The following is a 19,575-nucleotide window of genomic DNA, read 5'->3' on the forward strand; positions in this document are numbered from 1 at the left end:
GATAATGTGACACAGGGTACACAAGAGCGGAAGGGAGAAAAGCATTTCAACAAAAGCCTGGAACTTCAGTTTAGGTAAATTCAGGAAGGCGTGAGATAGGAAATGGCAGCAACCTTGCCAGGAACTAAAGGAAAAGGGTTCTGGCATCAGCCCCGGAGCAAAATGTTAGGTCATCTATAATAAGGGTTGGGTGAAAAACCTTCAACTCAAAATGAAAGATACAATGACACAAAGAAACTTATCAAGGCAACCTTTGAAAGCAGTTAAGAAACCAATTCTTCTTTTTTAAAGAAAGTCCGCAGACAAAAGAGATTCCCTGATCAGCGTGTGTCAAGTTCCATGTAGAATAAACTTTCTTCACAATCTCAAGAGCCAAGTTTCTGTGCCAATTTTTTTTCCTATTTATGAGGAAAAGGAGAGGAAACAGAAACTTAAAAATGAAACAGTAGATTAAACTCACCTTTCCCCAATTAGGTAGCTTTAATAAGTGGTTTCTATTTTTTATCAAATTTCATTCCATTTCACTCTTCATAATAACTATAAATGACACTGACGAGATACAGTTGGTATCGACAAAAGAATCGGTTCACGTATAAAATGAGAAAAGAAAAATGTCCCATTCCACTTTAAAATTACAAGATGAAAGAGCACATTCCAGGGAGAAGGAATGTATTTTTTCTCAAGAGTTAACATTTAGTTCTCCTGGCACTAGAAATGCTGAACTTCTGAGAAAGATGTTAACAATGAAATCAGAGCTGTATCATGGGGGAAAAGGATAGGCTAATTTCAGAGATTCTGCAATTGTAAAGATTGTTTCTTTGGGCTTCAATTAATTAAATATTTGTCCCCCTAAAATTAATATGTTGAAATCCCAACACCCTTCTACAAATGTGATGGTATTACGAGGTGGGCTCTGTCATGATGGCTCATGAGTGGGATTAGTGCTCTTATATAAGGGACCCCAGAGAGGGCTGTCTCTCTCCACCATGTGAAGATATAAGTCAGCAGTCGGTAACCTAGAAGAGGGCCCTCACCAGAACCTGATCATGCTGGCCCCCTGGTCTTGGACTTTTGGCCTGAGAATTGTGAGAAATAAATGTCTATTGTTTATAAGCCTCCAAGTCTAAGCTGGGAGCTAAAACAGCCTGAGCTAAGATACCTGCTTCTAAAGCCTGACTCACAATTCTGTATTAAGTTCCAGACTCTTTTCCAACCACTCATTTCCAAATGGACCAGTCATTTTTGCACAAATGTTATACAGACCTGAATGCCTTAGAAGAAACCCCTTCTTGATAATAGGTAATGTTCTGGTTTCCACTCCAACACCTTAAATGACAGCATTTTGGTAACTCCAGTTCTTCTTGTCAAGGGGTCAAAAAGTAAGATGCCAGTAGTTCACAGTGGGAAGGTTCTTAGTTTAACATGTTAGAAGAGAGAAGAAGAAAAAGTCCTTTTCCTTAATAATCTTCACAGTTAGATGGTAAAGTAAGTGGAAATGATCTGCACTTGGTTGCAGTGAATAACTAACTGTCTTCCACCAGGGTTGATAGGGAGGATCATTAACCATCAGAGAAATTGCTAACTGCCCTGGAACACAGCACATTCTTGGGTGAAAAGTCACTTGAATGCCTGTTGGAGCCATCACTATGGATTGCCGGCTATTCTGACTTGGAGTTTGAGGCTGACATCTGAAACCACAGGTTGTCTTATTCATTGTTTCTTCATGTTTTTCCAGGGGTTATTTAAGCCTCTCAAATGTGAATTTCACACATGTTGCTTGGGCTCCACCCAATCATCATCTCATGATTTGATACAAAACCCATTTTTTAAATGTTTCCTTTATATAGAACATAAGGTATCACCTACCCATATATCCAGTCATGACCTGCACTGTTTTTAATTTAGGCTTCATGTTAAAACTTCCAGCTAGATGCTGTTATCTTCAGTTTAAGGGTAATACTAATTTTGACCCAGGAGAATTTAAAAAACTTGTTCAACTTTATTTCACCAATAAGTGACATCTGAAATTTGAGCCTATGTGTTTCTGTTTCCCAAGCCTGTATTCTTCTGCCTTTCCACTATAGCCTTGTAACTTACAAACTTCCCTTCAATCATAAATGTCTATTCCCTTAAAGCAATGCCTTTTTATTATATAGAATAACAACGTCTCAATAGTCAAAGATGCCTTCTCATAATTTGGTTCCAAATTTGTTCCAAGAAGAATCCGCATGCCTCTTGTCTGTCCCTTCAGGTCCAGGGGAAGCAATGCATCCACTGTTCAGCACCACCCCTCACCCATCACCATCACTGCCAATACCTACCCTAAGGTTCTCTTTCCTATTGAGCCACTTGATTTATGCTTAACACTATACTAATTACTAAAGTAGTTGATGAGTCCCACCTTGTAAACTGTTAAAGTCTAAAGATTAAACAGAAAAGAGGGCCGGGCACGGTGGATCATTTGAGGTGAGGAGTTTGAGACCATCCTGGCCAACGTCGTGAAGCCCCGTCTCTACTAAAAACATAAAAATTAGCTGGGCATGGTGGTGCGCACCTGTAATCCCAGCGACTTTGGAGACTGAGGCAGGAGAATCGCTTGAACCCAGGAGGCAGAGTTTGCAGTCAGCTGAGATGGCACCACTGCACTCCAGCCTCTGTCTCAAAAAAAAAAAAAAAAAAAAAAGACTTCATATGTGAAGTTTGGTTTTTTTCTTTTTGTCACTGTAAACATCGTTAATAGAAAATTTTAAAAGAAAAACTAAGAGTTCCAAAAGGTTCAAGATATATGTGACTTGATTATTTAGTCATTCAATGAGAGCTTTAGTCTTAGTTGTTGAAAATCTATGTGGATTTCTCTCTATTTGTAGTCAAACCTGTCTATAGGTACATAGGATTTTTTGGGGGAAAGAAATCAAATAGTTATATATTTTAACTTCATTTAGGTGCCCCAATCTTAAGCAGATGAAATATAGAATTCCTGCTTTTCCCCAACCCCTGACTTCACATTAAATTCTTCTCAGCTGATGTGGTTTAAAGCTAAGTATGTTTTCTTTCTTTTATAGCTTAACATTACACAGGAATTTCTCTAGTTCTTCCAACTTCATGCCACACATGGCATTCTGTCCTTATCAAAAATCAGATCATTTCTCTCAAAGAGAAAAAAAACTGGCATCAAGGCAAACCCTGGAGATGAAAGCAAGGGTTAAGTTTACTTCCAATATTAGGGAATGATTCGGAAATAAATGTCGAGGTTAAAAAGTCCAGATGGCAATTCAACTGTATCCTCACTATAAACATGATTTGATTTATGGGAACTACTAATGGTATCTCCGTTTAGATCTGGACAGCTTTGCTTTCTCTCATCTGAGTTTTAATTTCATCAGATTCTTTTACTCCCACTATCAATCCTTCACTACAAAGAGACACTCCTCATCCAGAATTTGGGAGTATCTTAAAATGCAGAAATTGATAAATGTTAACAACCCTAATCCATGCAAATTACTGTCTGTTGTCATTATTTATAACCTGGCAGATGTGCTTATTCAAAAGATCCTCAAAAAGCTTTGACAATTCATGCTTCCAGTTGTGAAACATCTTTTGCTCTTCTTCCTTCTTTCATAAGGGATCCTACTGAATTAGTTTTCACTTTTTTTCTTTGCCTGACATTGCAATTATTAGCTTTCTTGGCTTTGTCAGAAAAATCCATCGGAAATGTTTATCTCCTGGGGCAAATCTCAGGGAAACAGCATGTTTATCACTTCAAGGGGCTGTAATCCAAAGGCAGCCCCAGGCCCACCCGTTTTATAACATAGGGACTGGAGGAGGAAGCAGCCATGTAATTGAACAGCAGTGATACAATAAACTCCCGCCATGAGCCTCACTGCCTCCCTGGCCTGTCTTTGTTCTCTAACCTACACTGATTAAATGTACAAGCTGAAATCATACTAATTTAATCTGTTATTTCCATTTAACTTTGTTCAGTTCACAAAAGTATTGGCCTGCAGAGTTGACACTATTCAGAATTAGGCCACTTTCTTCCATAGCTAGAATCAGTGAGTTTCATGTATTGGCCAACGTTGACTAACATCTAATTTAAATATCATACCAGGAAAGGGGATAGTTTGAATCAGAAGGATGGCTGGAATGACCAGATGCATTTTACTTTATGTTGCAAGGATAAACATAACCAAGGTATGTCTTCAATAACAGACACATAATTTTGTATCACTGTTCATATTCTTGTAAGACCTAGTCCTAATGTCATTTCCATTATGAAACAGTCATTCCAGAACCTGCATGTACTGCTCCCTCCTCTGTGCTCCCAGTGGGATTTTGGATACTCTTTGATTCACTCAATAGTCAACACAACTTATTACACTTTTAGAAACTGTATTACTTACAGCTTGAAATATAATCAGGACCAAGACACCCTCCATGAGCTCAAGGGAGAGAAGTAACAGCCAGTTGCAATAAATCATCCATAAGCTCAAGATATACGGCCATGCAAGAAGGGCATCTTCTTTGTTGGGTTAAGGTCATGACCCAAGCAGAAATAGGGAAAAGGCAAAATAAAAAGATTTTATATCATTAGGAAATCGATAATCAATGCTTTCTCTTGTCAGAAGAACATATTTTTGAGGAAAACTACAGGTAGAACAAATTGGTTTAAATATAGAATTCAATGGTAAGAATAGAATTAAAAAATAGACTGGATAATTAAGCATAGGTCAGTACGTAAAGGATTAAGAATTTGTATTTTCTTACCAGGCCAATGGAAGTTAAGACTTACAGGTGAGTCATTGTGGAGATCTGAATGCAGTGAAAGGTTAGGGGAATGGAGAAAAGTCTAGAGAGTCAGCAATTATCAGGAGACAGAAGAAACGGAGACTGTTGACTACTTGGGTATGGGAGCCAGATACAAAGAAACACAAAGAAGAATACACAATTTCTGTACTGAGAAACTTCAAGGCAATGGTATCTTTGGTTGATAGGGAACTCAGTATAAAGAACCTGTTCCGGGGAGAAAATATGGAGTCTGATTGTTTCAGTGTAGAGTTTAAGTTGCCTATGAAACATTCATTTGGAATGTCTAAGAAGGTGTATATTTCTATGGTGTGTTTACTTTCAGAATAGAAACAATTTTGTGCCAGTTGGAAAAAAAAACTATTATGATTTGATAGAGGACTAAGAAGAAATACCAGAGAAGTAGGAGGAAACCCAGAGGGAGAATTCATTCCCACAGAAACCAAGGAAAAAGAACATTTCAAGAAAGACGTAAAGGCAAGAGTTACATTTCAAGGAAGTAAAGTAAACCGTGAGAATTGATAAAGCATCTATATAATTTTAATGAGTGAATAAGTCATTGGTGGACTTAGTTGGAGCATTTTTAGGGGTGCTTAGGGGCCCAAGACAAATTACAAAGATGTGAAGAGTGAGAAAGGAGAAAAAAGGAAACATGCTAAGTAGTTTTCTCAAAAAAATTAGATAAGGGAGATAAGCATCTATATCATAGATCATGTTAGTTTCTTTGAATCTACAAGGTAGATTAGTCTTTTTTGCCTGCTTCCTCAAACCACAACGCTGGATTGAGCTTTTGTAGTCAGTTGAGTTTTTAATTTATTTGGAGAGTCTCAGTTTCTAACCTAGTGCCTGGAACTCTGTAATGGACTGTTAAGTCATTGAAAGATTGGGGAAGACATGATGAACACGTTTTCTGTTACTATTTTCCAGGGAAATACCAATTATTTTGATGGAAATTATTTGAAGGCATTGGAATACAAATCTGTGTGAAGTGAGTTAAATCTCCGCAAGGCCAAGATACACTGTGTTTAATTACACCTTCATGGAAACTCAATTATATCCTTCTTGCTGATAGAAAACTGAATTCCTTAAAAATTAAATGAATTAAAATTTGTGTATGACAGGACTATTATACCCATAACAGTTCCACTGCAAGTACATGAGACTGTCATGGCAATAACTGAAAAACTAAAGGAGATGTCTATGTAGACAGCTGCTCATTTACTGCCTGAGGCTCAGAATCAATCATAACTCCAGGTGAACTGAATCCCTCAGAGCACCAAGGGAAACCTGAGAAGCATTCCAGGAGACCTCCGTTTGACTGGCTTTTCGGATATATATAACACAGGCTGAAGTGTGCTGTCAAAACTCATCATTTAAGTATTGTAAACTCCATTAAAATATTCCTTTAAAAGAGAAAGAGCTGCAGACTTGATACAGGAAGGATCTCTTCCATGATTCTGGGATTTGGAGCTCAGGTGGTACAACGGTGATGAAGATGGAGATGTGGACGTGGCCAGTGTAAACATGGTGACTTAGCAGGGAGGACTGATGAGTGAGGAGAGAGCAGATGTAATTGAAAGAGGAGAGGACTAGCCTCAGTACCCTGTGAAACATTAGCATTGACTACTGGGCAGGGAAGGAAGAAGCCTCGAAGGGACCTCAGAGGAGTGGTCTCTATCCCACAGGAGTGTATACTTTCTTTCCAGTTCTCTTTGGATCTTTGACAAAGGAAAATAAAATCTATTGTTAAGCATTAACCATCTCTCAAGATATGTTTTCCAAAATTGTGTCTTTCCTTTAAAATATTCCCCAATGCCTTCTATTTATTTTTTTGGGAATTTTCTGTGAATACTTGACCAACATTTATTGAGCACCTACTGTATAGGCCCTATCACAAGTAACAGTCACTTACACTTGCATTATCTCATATAATGTTCACTGTCAATGTAGATGGGAAATTGATGCCCACACTGACAACGGTCCTGGATCACATAGCAGTAGGAAGACAGGGCCAGAATTTGAACCTGTATTTTCTGAATCCTGTGATCTTTCCACGATGGTTGGTTGGTATGGCTATTTGATACATATATTGGTCATAAAATATATGTTCTTATATCCTTCTCAAAAGTTTAAGATTGATGGCTTGTGCAACCAGTCATGTTACTACACAGTGATACTTGAGAGTATTGTAAAAGGCATCAAATATCTAACCCTCCCAACAGATGTCTCTCTGGCTTATGCAGAACCTGTATGACAAGGGACCAGAGATATGTGTTGGGTGATTATCCTCTGAACTCAGTCTCTACAAATTTCAGTGTTTAGAAATACATGAGAAATATATGTCTTAAGCTGGGCTAATGGCACATACATGAAGTCATAGTCTAAATGTGACACATAAAGTTTGCTGTGTTTTGAAAAGTATGTTGACCGTCTTTTTGCATACTCTCTGACACTTGGGAGTTCAACAGCACACCAACCCCTTATATTTTGAAGTCTCCTATCAGAAAAAAAAGAATTTTTAATTGGCATCCCATGTTCATAGAACATGAGTTAACAAAGTAAGATTTCAGAAAGAAAAGAATAGGAGAGACTAAATGTTATCATTTAGAGCAAAGAGAAAAGCTCTTTTTCTTTAGGAATGTGTGGGTGGAGGAGAGGATTGTTAGCTATCTGCTCTGTGATCCTGTGGCAATCTGATGAGTAATTTAGAAGCTTCAAGTGATTGACAAACCTTGTTGTATTCTTATTTTATATATTTATATGAATAATGGCATACATGAAGATATTATATATTAACCTTATCTTAAAGCTTTAATTATTGTAAATACAAAACACATACAAAAAAGTATCAATGACACACACAAAGTTCAATGAGTTATTATCAACACATGCATGTGTAATCCGCACTGTGTCAAAAGTTAGAATGCTCCCAGAAACCCTGTCTCCAGCAAATCTGTTCCCAATCACAGCACCATTCCTTCTTCCAAAGATCACTACGCTTCTGACTTTTGAGAAAATTATTTATTTGCTCTCTTAATACATTGACCACCTACATACGCATCCTTAAACATGGCAGTTGAGTCTTGCCTTCTTTTGAACTTTATGTAAACTTTATATTTTATTGTGTCTGGCTTCATTTATCTCCATTGTGCTTGAGAGATTCATTAAGTTACTGTGGTTAACTGTAGTTCATTAATCTTTTTGTATATTCCATTATTATAGGGTTGTAATTATTTACCCATCCTGTTATTTTTAAACTTTTGGGTTGCTTTTAGTTTAAGTTTATTAAAAATGATGCCTCTATGAACTTTCTTGTATCTGTATCCTGTTCTCACACTGCTGCTACCCAAGATACTGCCCAAGACTGGGAATTTATAAACAAAGGAGGTTTAATTGACTCCCAGTTCTACATTGCTGGGGAGGCCTCAGGAAACTTAACAATCATGATGGGAGGGGAAGCAGGCATGTCTTACATGTGTGAGAAAGAGCAGTAAAAACTGCCTTATAGAAGCATTAGATGTCATGACAACTCACTCACTATCACAAGAACAGCATGAGAAAAACTGCCCCCATGATCCAATCACCTCTCTCGGTCCCTTCCTCAACCCATGGGGATTATGGGGATTATAATTCAAGATGAGATTTGGGTGGGGACACAGCTAAACCATATCACTGTCTCATGGTGGATATTTGAACACATTTTTCTGGGTATATACCTAGGAATCAAATTGAGAAATCATACAAGATGCGTATCCTCAATGTTAGAAAAAACTGTTAAACAGTTTCCCAAAGTGGATGTAACCAATTTACATACCTGGATGTGTTTGCATTGCTTCACACAGCCAGTGTTTCTGTTTTTTGTACTTCTTTTAATTTAGATATTCTGGTAGATATTCAGTAGTATCACTTCGTTTCTATTATACGTGATTCTAATTTTGTTTCTATTACACATGATAATATCGAGTGCTCTTTTGTATGTTTTTGATCATATGGACATAGTCTTTTATGAAATCCCATTAAAAGGCTGGTGTCGATTTTTCTAATTGGTTGCCTTTTCCTTATTATTAATTTATAGAAGAGTTTTCCTTGAGGCAAGAATTTTACGTTATTGATTCAATTTTTTTCTAAAAGTAGTGGTATTAGTCAATGTTCCCATTCATTTTTGTATTTATTTTGCTAAATAAATTTTTTAGAAATTTGCCTTTTTATCTAAATTTTGAAATTAACACAAATTTTGTCAAAAATATCTTCCTTTATCCTCTTTTATCCTTGAATCGTTTTATCATAGGATTAGTAGTCATGGCTCTGATATAAGTTACTTGCTCCTTCTCAGATATTTCTTGAGCAAGTTCATTACAATACAGCAATTTTGTTATTTTTTTTCCCAGTGAACAACTTTTGGCTATGTTGATTCTTTCTGTGATGTATTTATTTTTAATTAATTTTTGCTCTTATATTCATTATTTCATTTTTTCTACTTCTTTTGGGGTTGGTTTGTTCTCTTTCTAACCTGAGATGAATTTTTAGTTTATTACTTTTCAGCCTTTCTTATTTACCAAGCTGTGCATTTAAGGCTATAAATGTTCCTTTAAGCATGGCTTTAGATGTCTTTCATTGTTTTTAGATATCATACTTTTTTATTATCACCCAGCTTCAGATATCTTTTTAGTTCTCATTTTGACTTTTTCTTTGACCTGTGGGTTATGTTCCATGTCCTGGTATATATAGTAGGCATGCATATTTTAAATTCTGTGTTCGATAGTTCCAATCCCTCAAGCTCTTGAAAGCTTTGTGTAATGCTTTAGGTTTTTGCTGGCTTTTCTTCATGTTACTTTATTTTTTTATAAGCTGGTGAAATTTTGTTGTGTGCTTTAAGCTATGTTTTTAAAATTATTTGTAGAAACAGTGTAAGGGCTAGGATAATGTCCCCTCCTTTAGAGATGATTAACAGTTGTTTCTACCAGGTACTGGAGGCAATATCAAAACACAATTTTCTTCATCCAATTTGTTGGATGGGAAGATTCAAAGCTGAGCTGCAATTTCTATGAGGGCCTGTCAACATCCACTTTACTCTTCCTCCTAAGCTGTGAATTCTTCTGTGGACCAGCTTAGACAAGAATGTTCATCTGGGCCCCCTTCACCAAGTTCCAGACTCTGTTTTCTGATTCTCTCATCTCCTTGGATGGTCATAATCATTGATGATCTCTCCTCCTCTCAGCCACCCCATTCTGAATGGCAACTTCCCCCAGGAGAAAAGTGATTCCAAATCTCAGGCTCCTCTTCATTGGATCTCTTTCCTCTCCCTTATCCTGGCCTAGCCACTTTTCAGTGTCCTGATAGCAATTTTGCATCTTCAAAGAGAAGATATAACTGACTTTTCTGGTTATCCTCACCAGTCGAAATTGCCTAGTACATTATTACTAAAAGCAGAAGTCCAACCAGGGATATTTTTGTTCTATAATATAAATAAAAGGCAGTAAGAGTCTCCTTGTTTTTGATATATAAATTTAAGTAGGCATCATGAGTCATCAGGCCTAACTTACTCACTGCTTCTTAGCTTTTGTCCTGATGCAACTGGGTCCTTACTCAATTATATCATTATAGCATATTGCTCTGAGCGACTTTTCCTGTTATAAGCATATGGTGTTTTTAGTTCTACTGTTAATTCTTTTCCACTGGACTTGTTTAAAACATGCTCATTTTCAATTTAGAGTCTGGGCAATTCATGTATTACATTCTAAAATGCCTGGCCAGCTTCCTCAGGAGATAAAATTATGAACTGGTCACTTAGACTTGCATATATTTTCTAGAATTTATTTGCAGAGTTATCAAGTACCAGTTACAAAGATTTGAGAAAGGATCTGCAACCTGTCTTACTAAATTAGGAATCATGGGCCTCTTATTTCATGTGGAATGCTCTTTATCAAGGCAAAAGAATAAAAGCTTGGGACAGTTTGACTGAGAGATTTGAATCTAAAGTTGTATAAAACTATCCAAAAATTAATTCAAGGTTTTCAGTGAGGACTCACAAGAATATAGAGCCATGTACCTACATACATATCACAGTGGGAGAGATTACCCAGACTTCCATGAAGCTGTCAGTCAAAATGAGGGAAAGAAGTCAGTTTAAGAATGTTAAAAGAAAATCCATTTGTTCACATTTCAAGTAATAGTGAATGTATTACTTTCTGTGTTCTGAATCTCTTCTCTTTTTGTTGGGGGGAAATCTCTTTCTCCCTGCTTTGGAGAAATAGTTTCTCCTTCCTTATACAGATACGTGAACTGAAATGATGCCTCCATCTACCTCCATGATCAGAGGATATGGTCTAGTTGTGGAAACATTTTCCAATCTGAAGATCACATTTCCTTCTCTACAGTCATTGCTGTGGGGGATGGACAGGTGACCTGGTCCTGGTCAATCAACCTAGACATTGCCTGGGATTATGTGATTTAAACTTATTTCAAAAGTCTTTGTTTTGTGTGATGACAGCTCTAGAAAAATGTGAGCCCAAAGTGTCTGGCAGAATAAGACTATCAGAGGTAATGAAGCTCATACAGAGAAAAGCAAAGGTTAATAATAGCCAAACTTCTGATGATATTTGCGCATTCTGCCCCACTGACCAAGAGGCTGCTTTACTCCCTGCCCTGCCAACAGTTGGGACAAATGGTCCATTAAATTACTCTTTTTTTTGATCTAAGCTACTTTGAGTTGGATTCCTTTAATTTGTAACTAAATTTATAGGGTTGCCAAATAAAATAGAGTATGTCCAATGTCTTAGTCTGTTCTGTCCTGCTGAAACAAAATACCAGAGCCTGGGCAATTATAACAAATAGAAATGTACTGGCTCATGGTTCCGGACACTGGAAAGTCAAATATCAAGGTGCCAACATCTAACCGGGCATTATTGCTATGTCTTATTTGGGGGAAGGCAGAAGGGCAAGAGACCAGGAGAGAGAGAAAGCAAGAGAGGGGATGATCACACTCTCATGATAACAAACCCACTCTCCTCATAATCACGGCACTAGTCTACTCACCAGAGAAGGACGCTTGTGACCTAAACACCTCTCAAAAGTCCCACTTCTCAATATCATCACAATGGCTATTAAATTTCAACATAAGTTTCAGAGAAGACAAATATTCAAACCCTAGTACCCAGATAAATTCAAAACCAGATAAACAGAAGGAAAAATGTCTTAGTATAGGTATGTCCCTAATATTGCATGAAACATTATATGTACTGAAAATTAGTTTTTGTTTACCTGAAATTTAAATTTAACTGGTCATCCTGTTTGTTTATTTGCTAAATCTGGCCACCTCAAATTAAAAGAATCTTAACCTATATGTGGGTTATATTCTGTTTGTATTGTAAATTCTGGAATTTCCTGGGTAAAAATCCTTCATTAAAAGTATGTTCATTTTTACTAATTTATTCTTAAAATGACTGAATTATTTTTACTAAGGTTTTATTTAATAACTTAATTTTATTAAATTTCTGCTTTGTGCAAGACAAGTTACTAGGCTGGTTGTAGTAGGAGATAAAATAGATCTGAAATCCTTATAGCTAAAGACCTTAAAATCTACTTTGGGAAATAAAACTAAATTTATTAATATAATTTATGGAAAATATAAAATTGAATAATGCAATATTCAATTTATTTAACCTTGTATAATTTACAAACTATTTTGAGATCACTTCTCATTAAATTCTTAGGACTTTGTGAAATAGGATTCTTGTATTTGTTCTCATTCTTTAAAAGAATAAATTGGAGTTTAAAGACATTAAGTGACTTTCCTAGATCTCTCAGATAACATGTAACATAGCCAAAATTTAATTCCAATTATTTTACTCCAAAGTTTTTCACTCTATTACTCTACTATTAATTATTAAATAAAATTCTGGGATATATGATAGGTGGTATAAATAAATACTAGGTGAAGTCAGAAAGAAAATTGATAAAAGAGGAATAACATGAGAATGGCTTTAAAAGTTGGTTATGATTTAAATAGCAGAACACAAGAAATGAAAGGTATGTAGGAAAGAGAAACACAAAGGGTTTGAGACGTGCGAGAGTGTGCATTCTCAAGAAATCTTTGGAGCTTTCTGGGACAGAAGTCAGGGAAGTTGTTAAATTGTACGCTCAGTCAGCTCTGCCTGCACTCACATGCAGAAGAGACAAACATCATCATCAGCTCAAGTCAGCCACAGGAAATCATATCACAGCCCTAATCTATTGACTCCACTGCTCTCCTAGACCACTATTTCTTTTTTTTTTTTATTTCTGCAACTTGCTTTTATTATTATTTTTTTCTTTTTTTTTAATTATTATTATACTTTAAGTTTTAGGGTACACGTGCACAATGTGCAGGTTAGTTACGTATGTATACATGTGCCATGCTGGTGTGCTGCACCCATTCTAGACCACTATTTCATGATTCTTTCTAACTCTTCAAACTTCCAATCCACTGTTCCCCATTCTCACTCTCAGCTGATGACCTTTATTTCCAGCTCATTCACAAATTAGAAATCATTATAAAGCAATTTGCTAATGACTTCAAAATACAAATCTTTAGCCTACTGTCTGGACTCTGTATTTGTACCTCCAGCTGCCTACTCATCATGTTTATTGGGATATCCAGTGAGTTTACCAAACTTTGCACACACAAAGCCAAATTGCTGATAATTTTCTGCCCCATACCTGCTCTTACCTCTTCTCCCATCTCAGCAAGCTGTAATGCCACCATTCTACATGTTTTTGCCACTATTCTGAACTCTTCTCTCACACTTCACATATAGTTCAGTGTCAATTCCTTTATGTTCAATATTTAAAACATACCTAGAATGTAATTGCTTGCTACCCCCTTGGGACAAGTTATCATTATCATTACCTGGACTTTCCCCATTGTATTCTAACTAAACTGTCTTCTTTGAGCCTTGCTCCCATTCAGTCTAGGAATAACAGCATCTGAATGACCCATGCTGCATATTTGCTTATAACCTGGTAATGGTGGGTTTCCGCCCGCTCCAGGAAAGCCTAAGTCCTTGAAATGGCCTAAAGGCTCTACAAGATGTGGCCTTCTGTCATTTCTCCAACAATATCCTCTACTATTGTCATCCTTTTCTTTCCCTGCACTCCAGCTTCCCAGGTATTCTTGCTATAATAATAATATACTTTTTAAAAGATGTGACGTGCTTTGACCTCAAGGCTGTGCAATGGATATTCTCTCTGCGTAAACTTTTCTTTACCCAAATGCCAGCCATGGCTTACTCTCTCATCTCTTTCTCATCTTTTACTTCCCCTTTTACAAATTGCAACACCACACTGATCACTGGCGTTCTCGATCTGCTTTCCCTGCCCTATTTTCCTCTCCAACATTTATCATAATATCATACAGTATATGTATTTTACTTATCCATTTATGGGCTGTCTCCTCCCACTAGGACATAGCTCCATGGGGAAAGGGACAATGTCGTGTACGTTGCTACATTCCTTGCACTGAACACAGTGCCTTTTACAGAGCAGACTCAATAAATATTTGTTGAGTGAATAAATAACTGTGCCTATACAAGTCTGATCTATGGTAGGCTTTGAATTTAGGCACTGAAGTAGAGGGATACTGAGCCACAAGATTTTTGGCTATGTGAAAATACGTGGAAATTAATACGACAGACATAGCTAGGTTATATCATATATTGGCTAAAGTAAGGTAACAACTCATTATCTGAGAGGGTTTGTGGTGTCGGCAGAGGCCCTGAGGACCTACACGGAGTCCGAGAAGACAAGTTTCTCAAAGTGTTCTCACAGCTACAGGATATGATCACTACATGGAGGACAAAGAGACCAGATGGGAGGCTGTCACAGTATTCCAGGTTTGAAATGATGTGGGTATGAATTAAAAGTGTGATTGACAATGAGGAAGACAGAAAGGCACAGATTTGAGAGACAGTTAAAGAAATAATCCCTAGGATTAAAGGACAAAAATGGATATGGAACATACATTGGAAATTCTGGCTAACAAATGACCTTAAGGTTTCCAGATTAGAATACTGGAAAAAATAATTGCATCCCTGATTTAAAAGAGCTATTTGGCCAAGTTAAATGGTTTCTTTTTGCTACTTTTGGCTTATTTTGTACTTTTTCAGGGAAGAGAGCAATGGTGGGTAAAAGATGGAGGCTGAATACACAGTCACTAAGGACTTGTGATTTTCCCAAACTTGTGAAAATCCTTTTGGGATCAGACTAATGCCCGAATACCCCAGGTCACTGCAGATCTGTATTGATTGTATCAATGTCTATATCTTCTCTATAGCATGATAGGGCCACATATTTCCTATAGTATTTACACTAAAAAGGGCTTTTACATTGCTGTTATCCCATAATGCCACCAGTAAAGATGTGTCTAAGTGGTGTTATGACAAAATGAAGTCAAGGTCACTCGGGAAGATTTTGGCTTTGCTGGGAATTCTCACTCACGAAACTCCCAGTAGTTGTGTGTCGGAACAGGTCACTGTTACGGTTTGTCAGCTATGCTCAGCGGTAGAAGCTTGCACACCATCTGTTCTCAGATGCCTGGTTTTGCCCAGAGCTATTTGTTCTTCCTTTTTTTTCCCCCTCACCAATTTCCACAAATACCAAGCAAGAAAATCTTAACAAATTTTGCTAGTATTGGAGTGTTAAATGAATTAAACTTGGTGAGCCTAGCTCATTGAGGGATTGTGCTAAAATTCATGCACACAGAGGAATAGCAATTCTCCTGCAAGCATATGATCCCTAGGCCGACTTGCTTAAAAGGTTGAATAAGGAGGTGAAAAACCGTTCTCTCTTTCCCTTGTAGCTCCTTTTGCCCACCACTAAAGATGAGGAAATGAAGGGAATAGGCACTTACATATCATTTTAGTTGCCTGCCATTTGTGAGAATGACAATGTGCTGAGCTCTATACCAGGAACTTTACATGTAAGATGATGGTTGAGAAGGTATCCGGGTGCTTCAATCTAATTATTATTTTTAAGATAGAAATCACCTTTAGAAATTAGAGAACATAGATGCCTCTCATTCTTATACTAGTGAATCCACTTTACTGGAGAAGCCCAAAGAGTAGGGATTCCTAAAGAGGGAAGAGTACAAATTAAAATGTCAGAGATGCTGGTATGAGATCCAGCTCAACACACTCAGCTGAGGCCACTTTGATCCAATCAATCTTTACACATCTCGGTGTCCTTAGTTTTGAAATAAAACAGTATAAACCCCTTTTAATGAATAGGGAAATCACAACTGCACAAGTATCTGGCACCCCATAAATATGAAAGACATTAAATCTAATATAAATGTAAAAACTAGAGAACATGAATACTTCTTTGATACACTTGAATTAAAATACTGTTCAATGATACATAAAGTTGTGGGTTAATCATTTTCTGCTGCTTAAAATTTACTAATCAATGGAGAAATGAAAGCCTCCAGACACATAAAACCACTCAGATCTTCCTGTTGAAGCAGCCATGGGAAACCACATAGTTAGCTAAAGCAGATTGAGATGCTCTGTGCTAAGGTCAGAGTACAGACATGCAGAAAATCCAAAATTCAAGCTGGGCGCAGTGGCTCATGCCTGTAATCCCAGCATGGTGGGAGGCCAAGAGTGGGCAGATCATGAGGTCAGGAGATCGAGACCATCCTGGCTAACACGGTGAAATCCCGTCTCTACTAAAAATTCAAAAACTTAGCCAAGCATGGTGGCGTGCACCTGTAGTCCCAGCTACTCTGGAGGCTGAAGCAAGAGAATTGCTCGAACCTCTACCTGGGAGGCAGAGGTTGCAGTGAGCCAAGATCCCGCCACTGCACTCCAGCCTGGGTGACAGAGAGAGACTCCGTCTCAAAAAAAAAAAAAAAAAAAAAAAAAAATCACTTACTTGTTCAGATATGCCATCCTTCATTGGACTGTGACTTGGAATATGGTATTAAATATTCTACATTTTTACTGTCTTGTTCAGTTTAGCTTGGGGAGCTATTACACATATTACATAATCTACTATAGGCTGTTTGGAATGAAATTTAGATACATGTTACCTAAAATGGTTAATGGTAAGTTTACAATACTTACAAGTGGCCTTGTTCATATTCCTTCATTCAGCCAGTATTATCTAGTCCCTCTGTGTCCGGAGTTGGTTCCTTCTGGTGGGTTTGCGGTCTCACTGACTTCAAGAATGAAGCAGCTGACCAGACCCTCACAGTGTTACAGCTCCTAAAGGTGGCACAGAGCCAGAGTGAGCAGCAGCAAGATTTACAGTGAAGAGTGAAAGAACAAAGCTTCCACAGCATGGAAGGGACCCAAGTGGGTTGCTGCTGCTGGCTGGGGTGGCCAGCTTTTATTTCCTTATTTGTCCCCACCCAGGTCCTCATGATTGGTCCATTTTACAGAGTGCTGATTGGTCCATTTTACAAACCTCTACCTGGCCACAAAGCGCTGATTGGTGTGTTTCTACAGAGCACTGATTGGTGCATTTTACAAACCTCTAGCTAGCTACAGAGTGCTGATTGGTGGATTTTACAATCCTCTTGCAAGACAGAAAAGTTCTCCAAGTCCCCACTCCACCCAGGAAGTCCAGCAGGCTTCACCTCTCACTTCTACATATAACATATCGTGCTGGCCAATGGGGAGAAGTACGCTAACATTTAAAATATATTTCTGCCTTGAAAGATTTGTAATTTAGTGGCAAAAATAAGAGGAAAAGAGAGTGGACTTGAGAATAAGCCAGAGAAGGCTACAGTCACTGAAGAAGGACTGCAAAACCTCATTGTCTACTGTGGCAAGGTTAAACTTCAACCACATACACCACGCATATAAATGCATCATGTGTATTCAGTGCATATTCACAGCCCTCCTGAGGGTCCAGTTCTACAGACATAGAGCCAGCCAAATGTTGTTGGAACTTCTGTGTTTGCACGGGACTCTCCACAATGGCCCTCCCTCTCTAAGGCTAAGGCTATACCCAGAGAGCTCCCGGCAAAGCAGTTTAATGCAACAGACTTGAGGGGCAGAGATTTGAGGTTGAGCTGCACTCTGTTCCTTGTTTACCTTGCAAGTCGGGGCAATGTATTTACATTTTCAGAGCCTCAGTCCCTTATCTGTAGAAATGGATAATCATAGTTGTCTCTAGTGAGTCATCTAGAGAGGCCTTAGATGACAAGAAAACAGCTTATTTAATAGGCAAATATAAAGTCCTCATTACTCTGTAAATTGACTGGATATTTAGTGATGATAAAGCATTACTGATATAAAATTTTAGAAGCAATGATATTAAATTTATTTTTCAACAGTGGTCTTTTGAAGATATATATGGACATATACAAAGGTTCAATAATAGTATTAGCTCTACTTTTATATAGTGAAATATATAAATTGAAATACATATAAATATTACAAGTTGAAACATACAAATTGAAAAAAATAGTATATACGTATGCATTTATAAATTCAAATATTTCATAATAAAAGTTTATAGAAATGCAAGATGCTTGAAGAATAGAATGAACGAAATGCCTTTTCCCAAAACCAAAATATTTTTCCCTATCTTTCTCATGGGCTCTCGTCATTTACTCAGGGACACACTGGATATACATAGGCAGCAAAAGGAAAAACTATGGAAATAATTCCCCAGCATCCTTAAACTAAAAAGGGAAACTATTGCATGTTGCCAAAATCTGGGAAGGCCCTCCAGCTTCCCCACCCTGGGTCTCCCTTTATGATGCCTACTACAATGTGGATTTATGTTCACCAGAATATCACCTACTGTATAACAAGTAGAGTATAAAGTACCATATTGGACTACCATATGGCTACCAACCTCAGAGGTTGGTAGCAACTATCAATGTAGAAATTTGAGAGCAGAATGAGCCTCAGGATAGAACCAGTTCTCACTCAAGCATGCTATATAATTGGCTGTAGTGAGAAACTAAAAAATGTCTCAGAAACCAGATGGATTTGAAATGTTCCATTATTCATAAACAGTTTTTCTTTTTTTTTCTTTTTTTGCTACTGTACTTGTTCCCATTCCCAAATATTCTGCTACAGAAGATTGTTGAAGAAGGTGTGAAAAGGAACACAAATCTCTGCTTGCTTTTCTGAAAGGTGTACTTGCAGCCACAGCACCTGAGGAGCCAGAGGCAATGGCTGGGACAATTTGTTTAGGGTCCCCTCTCTGCCTGGGCTTGTTATCAGTGGATATGTGTGTGAAGGGGCTTCTGGAGGGAGGGTGCGAAGAGGGTCGTATGTCAATCTGGCCACAGGTAATCACAGCCTTCCAAGTTTTGCAACTAAGAAAATTCATCCTCTCCAAAACTCAAAGCGATATTTCCTACCTTTTGTTGATTCAAATGGCGGTCATTGATGTTCTGACCGGAAGTGGCTCTCGCCGGATGAAGAATTGCTCAGTCTACTTCCTCCCTTCCATTGTCACACCCCACTCCACTTGGAGAAAGGAGAAGCGAGGGCACTTCAGTTGGAGAGCAACACTTTTTTCGAATAAGTAACATTCCAAGCCACAAAAGAGAAACTCATCAGTGACATGTATAAACAACGGTGGTTTATAAAACACTCTCAGACAAGCAGACTTGCAGTTTGGCAATTTACATAGCGGATGAAATGCGATAAGGAGAGCACTTTTCAAAGAGTATTCATGTATCATAAAAGAATGTGAAAAAAGAAAATCCAGGTCCTCTTCTCTGTAACATGGTGTTGGGGAATGCAAAGTCATGCAGCAATCCTGGTAGCCTTC

At 37.7% G+C, this 19,575-nt stretch overlaps 2 long non-coding RNA genes across 2 annotated transcripts in view; one reads left to right on the forward strand and one right to left on the reverse strand.

The window, feature by feature from the left end:
- LOC105370991 (uncharacterized) overlaps nucleotides 1-19,575 on the forward strand; it is a 152,871-nt gene that overhangs the window by 112,414 nt on the left and 20,882 nt on the right. Inside the window, exon 7 of the long non-coding RNA XR_002957693.2 lies at nucleotides 1,542-1,700. This is a non-coding gene — a long non-coding RNA (uncharacterized LOC105370991). The remainder of the gene's footprint in view (nucleotides 1-1,541; nucleotides 1,701-19,575) is intronic.
- LOC105370990 (uncharacterized) lies at nucleotides 1,269-19,253 on the reverse strand. The gene is made up of 5 exons (XR_932646.3): nucleotides 19,160-19,253; nucleotides 16,902-17,042; nucleotides 15,689-15,908; nucleotides 4,401-4,519; nucleotides 1,269-1,411 (listed from the first exon to the last, which is right to left on the reverse strand). It is a non-coding gene; the product is annotated as an uncharacterized LOC105370990 (long non-coding RNA).

This window comes from Homo sapiens, chromosome 15 (genome assembly GCF_000001405.40).
Source record: "Homo sapiens chromosome 15, GRCh38.p14 Primary Assembly".
In the NCBI taxonomy this organism is placed as follows: domain Eukaryota; kingdom Metazoa; phylum Chordata; class Mammalia; order Primates; family Hominidae; genus Homo; species Homo sapiens.